Raw genomic sequence first — 14,023 nt, 5'->3', positions numbered from 1 at the left:
ATGCAAATTACCTAGTTCTGAAGTGATAAACATTGGAGTTCTAATATGAATCAGTCTGCATCTATGATTTGCATGACTGTGTTTGCCTTCCAGGTAATTGGGAATTTAATTGCTATCAGGATAAAACTTGAGTATTATTTGAAAATGATATCAATGCAATGTATCCCGATGTGCATTTTTGAGAGTCATTGTAATTAGGCAAATGGGAGGGCTGCAGTTGGGGCTGGACTTCAGTATAGAATTTAAAAAGAGCTTATCTTCAGCATTCTCCAGATTCTCTTCTGCTACTACCATCTTGTTCCTCACCTTACAGCGCTGTTGGCACTGCATCTGACCTTTTTGTCCCTCTCTCTGTTTCCTCCTCACACTGAAACAGACCCCTTCTAATCTCATTCCTGATGTGTTTAAAGGAGCTCGTTAATGTCTTTATCCCTTACCTCTCCCAGATACTTTCTTTCTCTTTTTGCAAAGTAAAAAAAATAAAAAACCAAGCCGAATCTCAACCACCATCTACTATCACCATAGTTTTATAAAAAGAAGGGCGCTTTAATGCCTCCCAGCCCCCAAATAAAAGGAGGAAGGACATCATCTCAGAAAAATAGACAGCTTTTTAACTGAATACATTTACCTTTTTGACAAACTCTCATTACATTGACCCTATTTTTTCTAATTTTGTTTTTAAAAAAAGCCAAATTTTATCACAGCCCAGGACTATTTTGTAAACTGATGTCTGAAAACTGCTTTGATGTTGCAAAGGGAAGGGGTACTGATTTTCTGTGGTAGGGTAAATTATAGTTATGGAACACAGCAGGATGAAGCTAGGAGGTTCATCTTAGGGATCAGACAGTAACAACAGCCTCTGGGGTAAAGTAGAAAGAATGCATGGAATATAGGGATGACAAGTAAGGCTCTATCGGCGGGGAAGCATGTTGGAGAGGGTCACGAGGGCTTTACGAACATGGCTACCCAAGGGGAAATGACTATAGGTTCTTCCCATGGCTCTTACAACCTCTTTGACATGAATGGTTAGAATTGTAGGACTTTGTATGGTGCGGCTGGCCTTTTGCTGGCCATATCACACTGTGCAGCCAGCTTCCTTGTTGCAGTGATTGGATATTGCAATTCCCCTTCCTCTGTAAGCACCACTGATATAAGCCCGTTTTGGGTTGGCAAGACAGCATTTTTTATTGATTTGAATTCTGCAAAGTGTTCTGTAAGCAAAGTCTTCCAGAATTAGGGAGAGCAAAGTTGCTGAATTATGCATATTTTATATGTACATAGTATATTTGTACGCGTGTGTGTATTCCAAATTCTAAAGCAGATTATACCAGTTTCTTTTTTTTTTCCTTTGCAAAAAAAAAAAAAAAAAGGACCAAAAGAGCTCAATCAAAGCTTGAACTAAGTGCTGTCAGGGTTCCAGCTTTGGGGGGCTGTTAGAAGCATCCTGAGGAAAAATTCAACAGAACAATGCCCTGTTGTTAGTTGTGAGTGAAATCTACAGACCATCAGAGGGAGTACTTTAGCTGCTGTGAAAGGGCTCAGAGGGAGACAGATAATAAATGTACAACAATCCAATGTCAGAAATGATCACTATTGCAAAATGAGACTGAAAGCCTATTTTTTTTTTTTAGCAATTTCTACAGATGCAGTCCCACCTCTGGCCATGGCCAAAATTAGCTGGATAATTCTTTGAATCTGGCTAATGTGGAATCTTGCAAGGACAAAGAGGATTTGCTCACGAACTGGTAAGAGAGGTACTGGTCATGCATGCTTAAATGTGCTAATAGTTCTGGTCTTTAATGGTACCGACTTAATGAAGATGATGTTATGCATTTTTAATTGTTCGCCTATGATTTGACATTAGCCATGCCTTTCTAATATGAAGATTTGTTGGCCAGAACTGACATTAGCTGAAAATGGATCTTTAAATTGTCAGTTCCTCCCACATCTTCCTTGCTTTTGTTTTCCCTAGTGCCTTTCAACTGAATCGATGAGCCCTGTTTGCAGGCCCAGATCACCCCCTACCCCTTTCCTAAATCAATGTTTAAAATGGCAGAAAATATATCAACAACCTCAGACTAATTTAACAGGGCTTGAAACACTGAGCTGGGAGTGAGCTTTGTGTGTTCGTTACACCCCTGAATTGCAGTGCTCCTTGCCCCCTTTCTAGGTTACTTTTGCTTTGATATCCCACTGTACAGTTTGTCTGGTAATTTGGCCTTGTTTCCCTCTAGGGCTAAGTCCACATGCAGAACCTTGCCTAACTCCTGCCAAATTTCTCTTCCTAGAGTCTGCCCCAGCCCATTTCTTTGATACCTTATCAGCTGGTAAGATATGGACATATCATGATGATGATGCACACTGTGCTTCACTTCTGGGTTGAAACCTTTCTAGAAGTTCTTGCTACTGAGTTGGCTCTCCTCCCTCTGACTATTGTTTGAGGCTATAAACACTGCTCTAGATATTCCCAACTGTCCTGGCTGAGATCCCACTCTGCAAATTGTGGTCAGACTCCCTCAAAACCTATTCTAGTTAATGGGTGTTTGCTTGGTCCAACTTCTTCTCCCTTCATGCTTTGTGGCTGAATCCATCCATGATTTATCTTTGTAGATGATGTGAGGGTTTTTGCAAAAAGCCCTATCTCCAAAATCTCCATCAATGATACCTGAAATTTCTTGCTATTAGAGATTCAGTACTTTGACATAGGATATTGTCTATAGGTAATGTCTGTAAGAATGCATATATTCCAGGTGTCTCAGGGTGTTCTAGGCTAAGCTGTGGTAATGAGTAAACCCAAATATGTAATAGCTCAATATAATAGTTTATTTCTTGCTCACATAGCAATCCCGTGTGGGTTCTCAAGTCAGCAGGGTGGTTCTCCTCCCCACAGTCATTTTGAGATTCAGGTTTTCCCCATTTTGTGGCCCCTCAATTCCCTAGGGCCTCATTGGCATCTAGACACTGCTGGTGGAAGAAAAGAGCCAGACTGGAGAGTAAGACCTTTTTCTTAAAAGCTTTGACCTGAAGGTGGCGCCCTGTACCTAGTCTCACATGCCATTGGTCAAGATTCAATCACATGTTCACATCTAATTGCAAAGGAGACTGGGGAATGTAGTCTAGTCATTTTGCCAGGAAAAATATGGGAGAATAGATTTTGGAGGACAGCTAACAGTTGCTGCCATACCAAATAAGCATAACATGCTAACTTGTTTTCAGTCTTTAATGCCCTGACACAGTTTGGCTAATTAAATTGCTAATATCTTGGAAAACAGATGACAAAATAATAGGATATGAGCTAGGCCAGGGGAACAAAGTAGAGGAGTGTAGAGAATACATAGCCAAACATGGTTCATTGAATGGAAAGGTCAGATTTGAGGTGAAAAATTTGCAGAGATAGGACTCTTAGAAAGTCAGGGGTCAGGCCGGGCACAGTGGCTCATGCCTGTAATCCCAGCATTTTCGGAGGCCGAGGCTGGTGGATCACTTGAGCCCAGGAGTTTGGGAGCAACCTGGGTGACATGGTGAAACTGCATCTCTACTGAAAATACAAAAATCAGTAGGGCATGGTGGCGCCTGCCTGTAGTCCCAGCTACTATAGAAGCTAAGGTGGGAGGATTGCTTGAGCCTGGGAGGTGGAGGCCGCAGTGAGCCATGATCATACCACTGCACTCCAGCCTGGATGACAGAGCGAGACTCTGTCTTAAAAAAAAAAAAAGAAAGGAAGAAAGGGGTCAATGTGAGGGTACTGGGAACAGGAGAGACAAGGGGATAGAAACAAAGTAAAGATGAAAAGGATGTCTCAGTTTGTTTCAGGTTAGCCTTGCTTCTACACTCAAAATGCTTGCCAGGTGAGGGTCTTCAAAATGTGAATAATCCAGTGTTGTATTTAATTCTGTGTCATCTGTCTTTGTGAAAGAGAGGGAGCCGAATACTCCCAAAGCCCAGGTTCTTAGTGTATTCCACCAGGTTCCTGATCTTATAAGATTGTTCAACTTAGTACAAAACCAGAAGAATTAAAATCCCATCAATTTCACCATTCTTTGGTCTTTGCTCAGGTCACAATGAAAGGATAGTTTTCTTACAGCTATTCATTTGGTGTCAGGCTACCCACTGGGAGCCTTATTATATATGAAGCAAAATCTCTTCATATAGGAATGGGTTCTGTTTCCTGTTGGACATGCCACTTTACACAAACAAGGACTGACCTCTAGGTCATTTATGTCCTCTTTTCCTCCACAGCCCTATAGACTGTGAGAGATTGACCCATGCCAGTGACCGGCCAACACATTCTTACCTAGTTGGGTCAGAGCATGAGTTGGTTCAGAAGGGAACAGGGAGGTGAGTGGGAGGCTGGAGGTTGTTATCTGCAGAGCTGTTAATGGAGCTGAATCTGATTTGTGTTTAGCCTGTAAGCACTTTGCAAAGGTAGATGGGAGGCAAAGGTCTGGAGATGCAGAGGCATAGAAACCATCGATTTTGCTTTTTAGCTTGTGTCCTGGATATGTTCACTGGGCAGCAAAAAAGAATCATTGACGGTGGAGAGTCACAGGCAGTCAATCCATTCTGGATGAATAGATTTCTAAGGGTCTAAGGGCCTCATTAGTATAGACAGTTATCCATGTAATGTGATGTGAGGCGTGCTCCAAAATATCATTGTCTTGCAGGGCCTGAAATCCCATCATTAAAGATCACCCTTTGAAAACCTTTCAAAGCAATTATAATAAACTAAATTTATTTAATAAGCAATTATGTAGCACTTACTATACACTAGGCACTATTCTAAAGGCTTTATAGATATTAACACACTTATTCCTTGTAACAACCCTATGAGGAAGATACTATGTTTAGTATCCTCATTTTACAGATGAGGAAACAGAGAGAGAGAGAGAGAGGCCCAAGAACACACAGCTAGTGAATGGCAGAGCCAATATTACAAACCCAGGCAGACTGGCTCCAGAGTCTGTACTTTTAACCATTATTCTACACTGCCTTTTATAGCATAGTATGTTACATTGATTTGGGGGAAGTGTAACCCATTCTAGCAGAAATTTATTAACCTAACCATACTATTACCCCTTCCACCTAGTAAAGAGCAGCAAGACTGTGAATGATTTGAAGGGAAGAGGCATAAGAGGTCCTGATGAGACTACTGCGGGGAAGAGGGTATCAGGATGAGGGTATTGTTAAAGGGCTAGATCCCCCCAGCACTTAGTCTCCCTAAACATGCATCACTCAAGGAAAAGTGCTTTATCTCTATCTTCTAGTTTGTATGAATTGGAGACAGGGTCTCACTCTGTTGCCCAGGCTGGAGTGCAGTAGCATGACCACAGACCACTGCAGCCTCAACCTCCCAGGCCCAAGCGATCCTCCCACCTCAGCCACTCAAGTAGCTGGTACCACAGGGACACGCCATCATGCTCAACTAATGTTTTTTTTTATTTTTGTAGAGACAGGGTCTCCCTATGTTCCCCAGGCTGGTCTTGAACTCCTGGGTTCAAGTGATCCTCCCGCCTCGGCCTCCCAAAGTGCTGGGATTACAGGCATGAGCCACCATGCCTCACTTCATCTCTTTTCTAAAAAACTGTATTTAGTATGCTCGGAGGTGGTATAGGCTGAACATGACACTAGGTAGACTCCCATCTACTCAGGGAACAAAGAATGGTTGGGGCTGATTGGGAATCCATGGGTAACCATATGAAAACCATTTTCTGGTTCTGTAGTCGGAGTTAATGCGTCTTGCTGTCCCAGGACAGCTCCATGGAGGCTGCTCTGATAGGATTACTTCCTCTTGCCTGACTTTTCCATGGATAATTTGGTACTGGACAGTGCTCTCTGATCACTCAGAGCTCCTGTTAGCTTTTTCCCATCTAGCTTCTTCCTTACACCATTGAAAAAGGGCCACTGTTGTCTCTGCAGAATGTTTTCACCTGATGTCACATAGCCCATGGCTTTCAGTGTATAGCTGGCTCTTTTACAATCCCTATCTGTGGCTCTTCAAATCTTCAATTCTTGTATTAGACCAAGCTTATCCAACCTGTGGTCCAACACAAATTCGTAAACTTTCTTAAAACATTATGAGATTTTATTGTGATTTTTTTTTTTTTTTTTTAGCTCATCAGCTATGGTTAGTGTTAGTGTATTTTATGTGCGGCCCAAGACCATGCTTCTTCTTCCAATGTGGCCCAGGGAAGCCAAATGTTTGGACACCCCTGTATTAGACTGTATGTCTCACTGGGTGTTCCAGAGGAATATCTGGTGGAAAAGGAGAGGGGCATGATGATTTCGGTGGGTACCACCTCACTGGTCTTTGTCCCTGGAACAACTTTCATGGCTAGATACTATAACTAAGCTAGTCAGTTAGCAGAAATCTAAGCACCTACCATGTGCAGGATGCTGGATAAACCACTGCATGCCCTAGGCAATCTGAGCTGACCTAACTTGGTCATTAAGTTCTCTTCTAGAAAAAGAACAAATACTGTTCTCTTGACTGACAGACTTTTCATTCCCTGTGCATAACTGAGGATCCAGCTTCTACACTTTGGCGCTGAGCTCGTTGTCTTCATAATTAATGCTAAAAAGAGCAGATTTGGAAAGAACACGGGAACGAGAGGCTAAGTCTCCAGAGGGAGCCTTAGAAGTGGACTTGGTGCTTTTCCCCCCCACAATATTAATCCCCTATGGTCACGTGCAGGGAATACAAATGCCCTTCTCAGGCCCTCAGGTTCAATTTCACCATAAGACAATTGACCTATCGCCACGGTGAGGAGCAAAGCCTCAAACAAAGCGGCTGCCGAAAGGACTTTGTCAAGCTGGAAATGAATTATTAATATGGCTCTGAAAGGGAACAGCATTGGAAACCAGTCTCTTTATTATTTACATTAATGAGCTGGAAGACGATGCAGTGAGCAAAATCCCAAGTTTGGAGAATGCTACATTCTGAAGGGCAACAATGAGTGAAGAAACAATGAAATCCAGCAAATGTAAATTCAGACTACTGTCTCTGAATAAAAAGCGCAAAGAGGGAGCGTTTTCAGAGCAGGAAAGGGCTAACGCAGGGCAGCAAGTCATTACTGAAATTCCCTACCGTCAGTTTGAGAATGAAGCTCAGACTTAGGAAGACAAGAAAAAAAAATGCCTCAGATTGCCTGCTGGACAGACACAATGCTATACACCTATCAAAGGAGGCGGCATTATCTCTATTAGAGATGTGTGCCCAGTACAATATGCCATTCGTTTCTTATCTAGGTTGAACGGGAAAGTCAATTATTCTAATACAATATCATATTCTGCTCCTCAGAGAGATTCGGAGTCTTCACAGCTTGACTGGCAGAGGAGTATGTGTGTGTGCAGGCTTTCTGTATACTTCCTCTAATGCTAATTGCTTTCTTTTTGCTACATACAGAGCCCTGTTTCCCACCAATACCCCCGCCCCACTCCCCATCATCATAAATAATCTTTTGATTAACCTTCTCTTTTTTTCACAACAGCCATATAGTCTAAATGTTTCTCCCTGTTAGCCCCAGCCTGGCAATGCCAGAATTGATGTCTGCCTTCACAGGAAGCATAACAATCTCCTAAGATGAGAGATGCAACAACATTTTGCGCCACTAAATTAGATCCTTCCCCGGATGGGTATTTCTATTTTATCTGAATTGTACTTTGTCCTATTATATCTCTTGGTTGCTGGAAATTTGGTCACTTACCTTCCTCTGCATTTCTGCCTTTTAGAGAGCTCCCAACTTCCGCCTCTTTTTGTCTTCAAACATTTGTGGCCTTTTGGTTACTGGTTGTTTATCAGGCTTTGGACCCACTAGTTGCCTTCACTTTTCCTGCCCTCCTTTGCTCTGGCTCTAGCTTGCCTACTTGGCCTAGTCCCATTACCTGCTCTGATTTCTAGAACCTGCATAATCTCTGTCAAATTTCCTTACTTATCTGGGCTGCCTTCTGTCCTAGGTACTACTTTGACCTGCTATAATCAATACTTTGGAATGACGCTATTATGGGGACTTTTCCTTGTACAACTCCATACCATTTCTTGCTAGTAAGGCTTTGAGTCAATTTGGGGAGAGAGAGGAGGATGGCTGAGGAGGGTGTGTGTGTGTAGCCATTTGGAAGTTACTCTGAATACTTTTTGTTAAATACCTATTGCAGCAAGACAGGACATTTTAAAATAATCTTAAACAGTGTCAATAATATTGGTTTACAGTGATAGACTTGGGCTGCAGCTATCCTAATCCTGAATCTTGCATCAGAAAGGCCTTTGGCAATATTGAGGAAAGGTTTCATTTGATTTAGCTGCTCCTATTGGTGAAGCATAATATAGTGCATATGCATATGTTTTTCTTGAAGTAGCAACAGTTATGGATGATCTTAAATGATCTTTGGCATTTTAGACTTTAAAAATTGCTTTCAAATATATTATCCTGTTTAATCCTTTTATTAGGTTGAACCACGTGAAGCTGCTGATATTTGAGCATTTTGACCTACAGAAATGAAATGGCAATTTCATACAGCTCACTCTAATAGTTTACAGATGAGCAAATTGAGGCTTAGCAAGATGAAGTGGCTTCTCCAAGGTCATTCATTTCCACACTAAGTAGTAGAGCTGGGGCTCAAATTCTCCTGTCTCACTCTCATTTTCTCCCTTGCTCTGTACCTTTGTTGCAAGTTCAAGATTCTCTAAAAAGCACTGGCCACAAATTCCAGAGTTCAAGTACAAGTTTTTACGTACAGTGGCCCACTGGAACAAATGATTTTGAAATGCTGCTGGACATTTTAAGAATAGTCTTAAAAACCTCAAATTGGCAAAGAAAAAAATTAATAAATCATCACACAAATAGTAATATCCTCGCTGTGTGTTCTCTGGTTTGGAATATGACAGTATCTGGATATCTGTCTTACTCTTATTTATCCCTTGATCCCTATCTTTTAAAACAATTTATTTGCTGTGTCTTTTTTTCTCATCTTCTCTCCTTACTGCCTCCCACCGTCCTGGCCCCTGCCATTTATTTGTTTTGAGCTTAAATTAAGCTCTTGAGCTTCCTTCTTTCTTTAGTGGTTTCTTTCTTGGCCAAGACCTGATTGTACCACTGACCGCAATTGAATTCAATTCATTTCACCAAATAACATTGTAGAACAGGAAAACTGGAGTGTGGAATTAGACATCCCAGTGGGAGCCACAGTCACTTGTTCTCTGAGAGCTTCCTGTTTTCTCACCTGTCTGGAAGGTTCAGGAAGAGGCTGACAGGTGCCCAGTCTTGCACTGCGGCTAATGCTGTCCCAAGGGAACACCCTTCAGACTTGAACAGCCTCCTCTCTCTGCTGGGCCGTAATATTATTGTGAAGTGGTGCTTTATACTTAAGTCAAACTGGAGAGTACCGTGCATTTTAACAAGCACCCTAATGAGCATTAATTTTTGATGTTCTTCGTTAACAAGCATTATGAGCTATGACAAATTTTGGTTTGACTTTGTGCCAAAATGAGGGCAAGTTGTTGTTTAAAGCTGTAAATCTAAAAGCTTCCCCTGGGACTTGGAAGGCTGCTCATTAATACTTCTGGAGCTCGCAAAGTCAGATGAGACAAATATATGGCTGGATCTGGTTTCCATTGCCTCTTCTCCTGCCTGCCTTCATTACATCTTTCTTTTCTAAGTGGACTGTCTCCGTAACCGTACCCCACCCCACCGCCCCGCCGCGCGCGCGCACACACACACACACACACACACACACACACACTCAAAATCACTTTTCACTTCAGACTGTTGGAAAAAATGCTCACATCTTGGGAGTTACTAGACCTAGTAATTGCCTGCAAATTTCAGATAATGAAACTTCCAGCTTCAAAACGCAAATGCTTGGCAGGGATAAATAGATGGATGGAAAGATGTTTCTTTTAATTGAGAATTGGAAACTTCATTAGAATTTTTTTTAAAGAAGCCACATTCTGTTCTACTGCTTGTTGTTAAATAAGAAAAGTGCAAGCAATGATGTGTTTAAGGTGCATATCAAACCCAAAGGAAGAAGAGGCATACTAGGGGGGGCATGAAAAGGTTTTTTGGCTCCAAACTTGCTTTCCCTTGGGCTTGGCAAAGTGCCCCAATTCCTGTCATTAGATTGCCTGTTTAGGGTGTTCTGTTTTAATATAGCGAATGCTTTGTATTACCTGGGAGGGGTAATCCATTAGTTACCTGGTAACAGAATTTGATTATTTAATTACACTCATTGCCACCCTGCAGACTTTGGAATAAAGGGCTTAAAATGTAGAATGAGCAGCTGGGCGCAGTGGCTCACACCTGTAATCCCAGCACTTTGGGAAGTTGAGGTGGGCAGATCACTTGAGGTCAGGTGATTGAGACCATCCTGGCCAACATGGTGAAACCCAGTCTCTACTAAAATACAAAAATTAGCTGGGTGTGGTGGCATGTGCCTGTAATCTCAGCTACTCGGGAGGCTGAGGCACGAGAATCGCTTGAACCCAGGAGGCAGAGGTTGCAGTGAGCTGAGATTGCGCCACTGCACTGCACTGCACTCCAGCCTGGTGACAGAGTGAGACTCCGTCTCAAAAAATATATATATATATATATATATACACACACACACACACACATATATATATATACACACACATATATATACACACACGCACACACACATATATGTATATAGAATGAGCATACTTCCTTGGAAGTATAATGCTGGGGTTCCTTCCCCACCTGATGAGATGCCCTGGATAGCCTAGGGCAGTCAAGGGGCAGGAGGTTTTGAAGTATCTAGGTGTGGATAGGAACTGAATAGTAACTTTCTGCTGCTTTCTAAATTTCCATGAATCTTTCACAGATATTTTCATGCATTATCTACCAAAATGAGGATGAGGGCTAGACCTAGAATATAGAGATTGAGAATAAGGGCTTTAGCTTCAGATAGTACTGGGTTCAAGTCCCAGCTCAACCAATTTCTAGCTGTTTGATCACGGAGCAGTCGCTTAACCTTTCTGAGCCTCAGCTTCCTCATCAGGGAAATGGGACTACCCTTAGCATCTAACTCACAGGATTGTGGTATGGATTAACATGAGTTGATTTGTGCAAAGTGAACAGTACAACGTCTGACAGATAGTAAACATTCAAAATATAGTGGATTTTGTTCTTTCGTAAAATGGTCTTTATGGTCTGATGTGTGGAATACGCAAGCCTCAGGATCATGTCTGTCTTGGTCTGTCTTCATCTCTCTGTTACTTGTTTTGTTCATTACCTTCAATGTGTGTTATCTGTCGTGGGGTATTTATCTTTCTCAGATGATCTTCCTTCATCAGCCATTGTGTTCTCAGGTCTATCTCCCCTGGCTGCCTTCTCAATGTGTTCTTGTAGATGATTCACACTGCTTAGGGAAACCCTAATGAGTTCACAGCACATCTGCCTTCCTGATCAAAGAAGGGATTTCAAATCCAAAATGAAACGGCTTTTGGATTAGCTGTGACATTATTTCCCCTTCTATTGCTGCCCATAATAAAAGCTGTCCTCTCAATATGTTACCTTCTTACCTGCCGGTGATGTGGAAAGAATAAATAAGAGAGTAACTTGGTATAGAGGAAGGTGGCAGGGAAGAGGGGAGTGGATTTTTTCAGGGATTCTCTCTGTTGTTGTAAAACCTGGGAGTAAATTTTGGCAGTGCTTGTAGGCATGTGGCCACATTGAATGTGACAGGCAGATTCAGTCAATTGACACTTACTTACTTTTTTTGTGTCCAACCCTGTGCTGGGTGCCCCAGAGCTATTAAGACTTATGAGATATATTCCTGACCTAAAATTGCTTAAAATTAAGCTTGGAAGTTGAGATTGTGACTCATAAAACTGTTAGGTAAAAATAAAGCGGGGAAAATTTTATGGGGGAAATAAGAGCTGAGCTAGGCCTTGGAGGTTGAGTTTGGATAGCAGAGGAGGGTGCAAGACATGTTAGTTATATGTATATTGGTGACGGTTGGAAATAAGTGGACATAGTGATAATAGAAAGCCCAGGAAAAGGAATAAATGTGATGTGTGCAGAAGGTTGGGAGGAGATCAGGTTGACAGGAGCAGAAGGTGCCCGGTGGAGAGCAGTAAGAAATATTACTAAAAGCATAAATATGGCCAGCTGCCAAAGGATTTTGACAGACAGGCTGAGGACTTTGACTTTATACAATAGGTGACAGGGAATCATTATACGTTGTGAAATAGGAACGTAATAGGATTGGAGCAGAGAGATACTCGGGGTAGGGATTGGGTGGGAGGCTGCTGTAATGGTACAGGGCTTGCTACTCAAGCAAGGTCCAGCAGCATTAACATCAGTATCCTCTGGGAGCTTATTAGGAATGCAGAATTTTTTTAGGCTCCATCCCAGATGTACTGTCTGGGCCACAGACCAGTACTGATCCGTGACCTGTTAGAAACTTGCACACAGCAGGAAGTGAGCAGCAGGCAATTCAGCATCACCACCCAAGCTCCGCCTCCTGTCAGATCAGCAGTGGCATTAGATTCTCATAGAGCATGATCCCTATTGTGAACTGCACATGCGAGGGATCTAGGTTGCATACTCCTTATGAGAATCTAATGCCTGATGTTCTGTCACTGTATATATTACATATAATAATATATACATGTATATACATTATATATTACAATGTAATGATAATAGAAATAAAGTGCACAATAAATGTAATGCACTTGAATCATCCTGAAACCAGCCCGCCTTCCCCCCAGTCCATGGAAAAATTGTCTTCCACGAAACTGGTCCCTGGTGTCAAAAAGGTTGGGGACCACTGGTCTAAGTTATCTGCTGCTGCTTAACAAACCACCTTAAAACTTGATAGTTTAAAACCACAGACATGTATATCTCATAGTTTCTGTGGTCAGGAACCAGGGATAATTTAGCTGGGTGGTTCTGGCTCAGAGACAGTTCTCTCATGAGGTTGTACTCAAGATTTTGGTTAGAGCTGTAGTCATCTGAACACTTGACTGGGGGCTGAAGGACCTACTTCCAAACTTGCTCATGTGGCCATTGGCAAGAGGCTTCAGTTTTCACTAGTTGTTGACTGGAGGCTTCAGGTTGTTACTATGTTGGCCTCTCCATAGCCTGCCTGAGTGAATTCTCAACATGGTAACTGTCTTCACCCAGAGTGAGTAATCCAAGAGAGAGAGAGAAAGAGACAGAGGGAAACCAAGACAAAAGCAACATTGTCTTCTATAATCTAATCTCACAGATAGTCTACTATCACTTTCTGACCTTATGTTCTTGATCATGCAGGCCAACCCTGATACAATTTGGGAGAGGACTACACAGGAAGAGATACCAGGACATGAGGTCACTGAAGGCTATTTTGTAGGCCGGCTACCATACCTACTGATTCAGAATCTGTATTTAACAAGCTCTTCAGCTGATACGTATGCACATTATGCCCATTAATGTTTGAGAAGTGCTGGTCTAAGCCAATATACCTGTTAATAGCAAATAGTCAAGAAGAGACATGTGAAAGGATACATTGATGGATTTGGTGGGTGTAGGGTATGAAATAGATAGAAGAGTCAAAGTTAAGTGTCAAGTTTCTAGCTTGGGAGATAAAAATAGAGAGGTTGAGATGAGAGGGGGATGACATGCTCACTTTGATGTGCTGAGTTTGAGGCAACGGGATATCTAGATTTGAAACTTTGAGAATGTGGTGTTGGCATCCGTGAAAGGTGGATTAGGGAGTGAGCAGCAGAAAGAAGGCTGTGAAGGCTGTGAAGTCATGAAACAGTGTAGAAAGTTAGAGACAAGTAAAGGGACTGGGGTAAAGAAAGGAACGGGATAGTAAACTTAATAAGAAGCAATAGTGGAAGGCATGGAAAGTGAAGATGATGGGCCAAAACAAAGGATGGGTAGAGAGGAGATGAGTCCAGGTAAGTTGAGGGTGCTAGGGAATAGAACTCACTTACACTTTAAATATCATGTACTTAAAAAAAATAGGTATTATATAAGCATTTGGTAGAATATTCAACAGGTATAAATCTCCTTTT

At 42.0% G+C, this 14,023-nt stretch overlaps 1 long non-coding RNA gene across 11 annotated transcripts in view, besides 1 other annotated feature; it reads left to right on the top strand.

The window, feature by feature from the left end:
* LOC124905213 (uncharacterized) overlaps nt 1-14,023 on the top strand; it is a 275,363-nt gene that overhangs the window by 68,078 nt on the left and 193,262 nt on the right. For 10 of the 11 annotated variants that reach the window (XR_007068324.1, XR_007068325.1, XR_007068316.1 and 7 more), the window contains one exon: nt 1,632-1,745. This is a non-coding gene — a long non-coding RNA (uncharacterized LOC124905213). Of the gene's footprint in view, nt 1-1,631; nt 1,755-14,023 lie in introns of all 11 variants that reach the window. The other variant, XR_007068326.1, reaches the window with a different exon arrangement.
* Nucleotides 2,969-3,263: an enhancer, noted in NCBI's record as "tiled region #5660; K562 Activating DNase matched - State 13:Ctcf". NCBI's record gives its function as "activates a minimal TATA promoter and a strong SV40 promoter by Sharpr-MPRA in K562 cells {active_cell/tissue: K562}" and the evidence as "EXISTENCE:reporter gene assay evidence [ECO:0000049][PMID:27701403]".

This window comes from Homo sapiens, chromosome X (assembly GCF_000001405.40).
Source record: "Homo sapiens chromosome X, GRCh38.p14 Primary Assembly".
NCBI lineage: Eukaryota > Metazoa > Chordata > Mammalia > Primates > Hominidae > Homo > Homo sapiens.
Note: the sequence above shows the minus strand (reverse complement) of the source record. Positions and strands in the feature narration are given on the sequence as shown.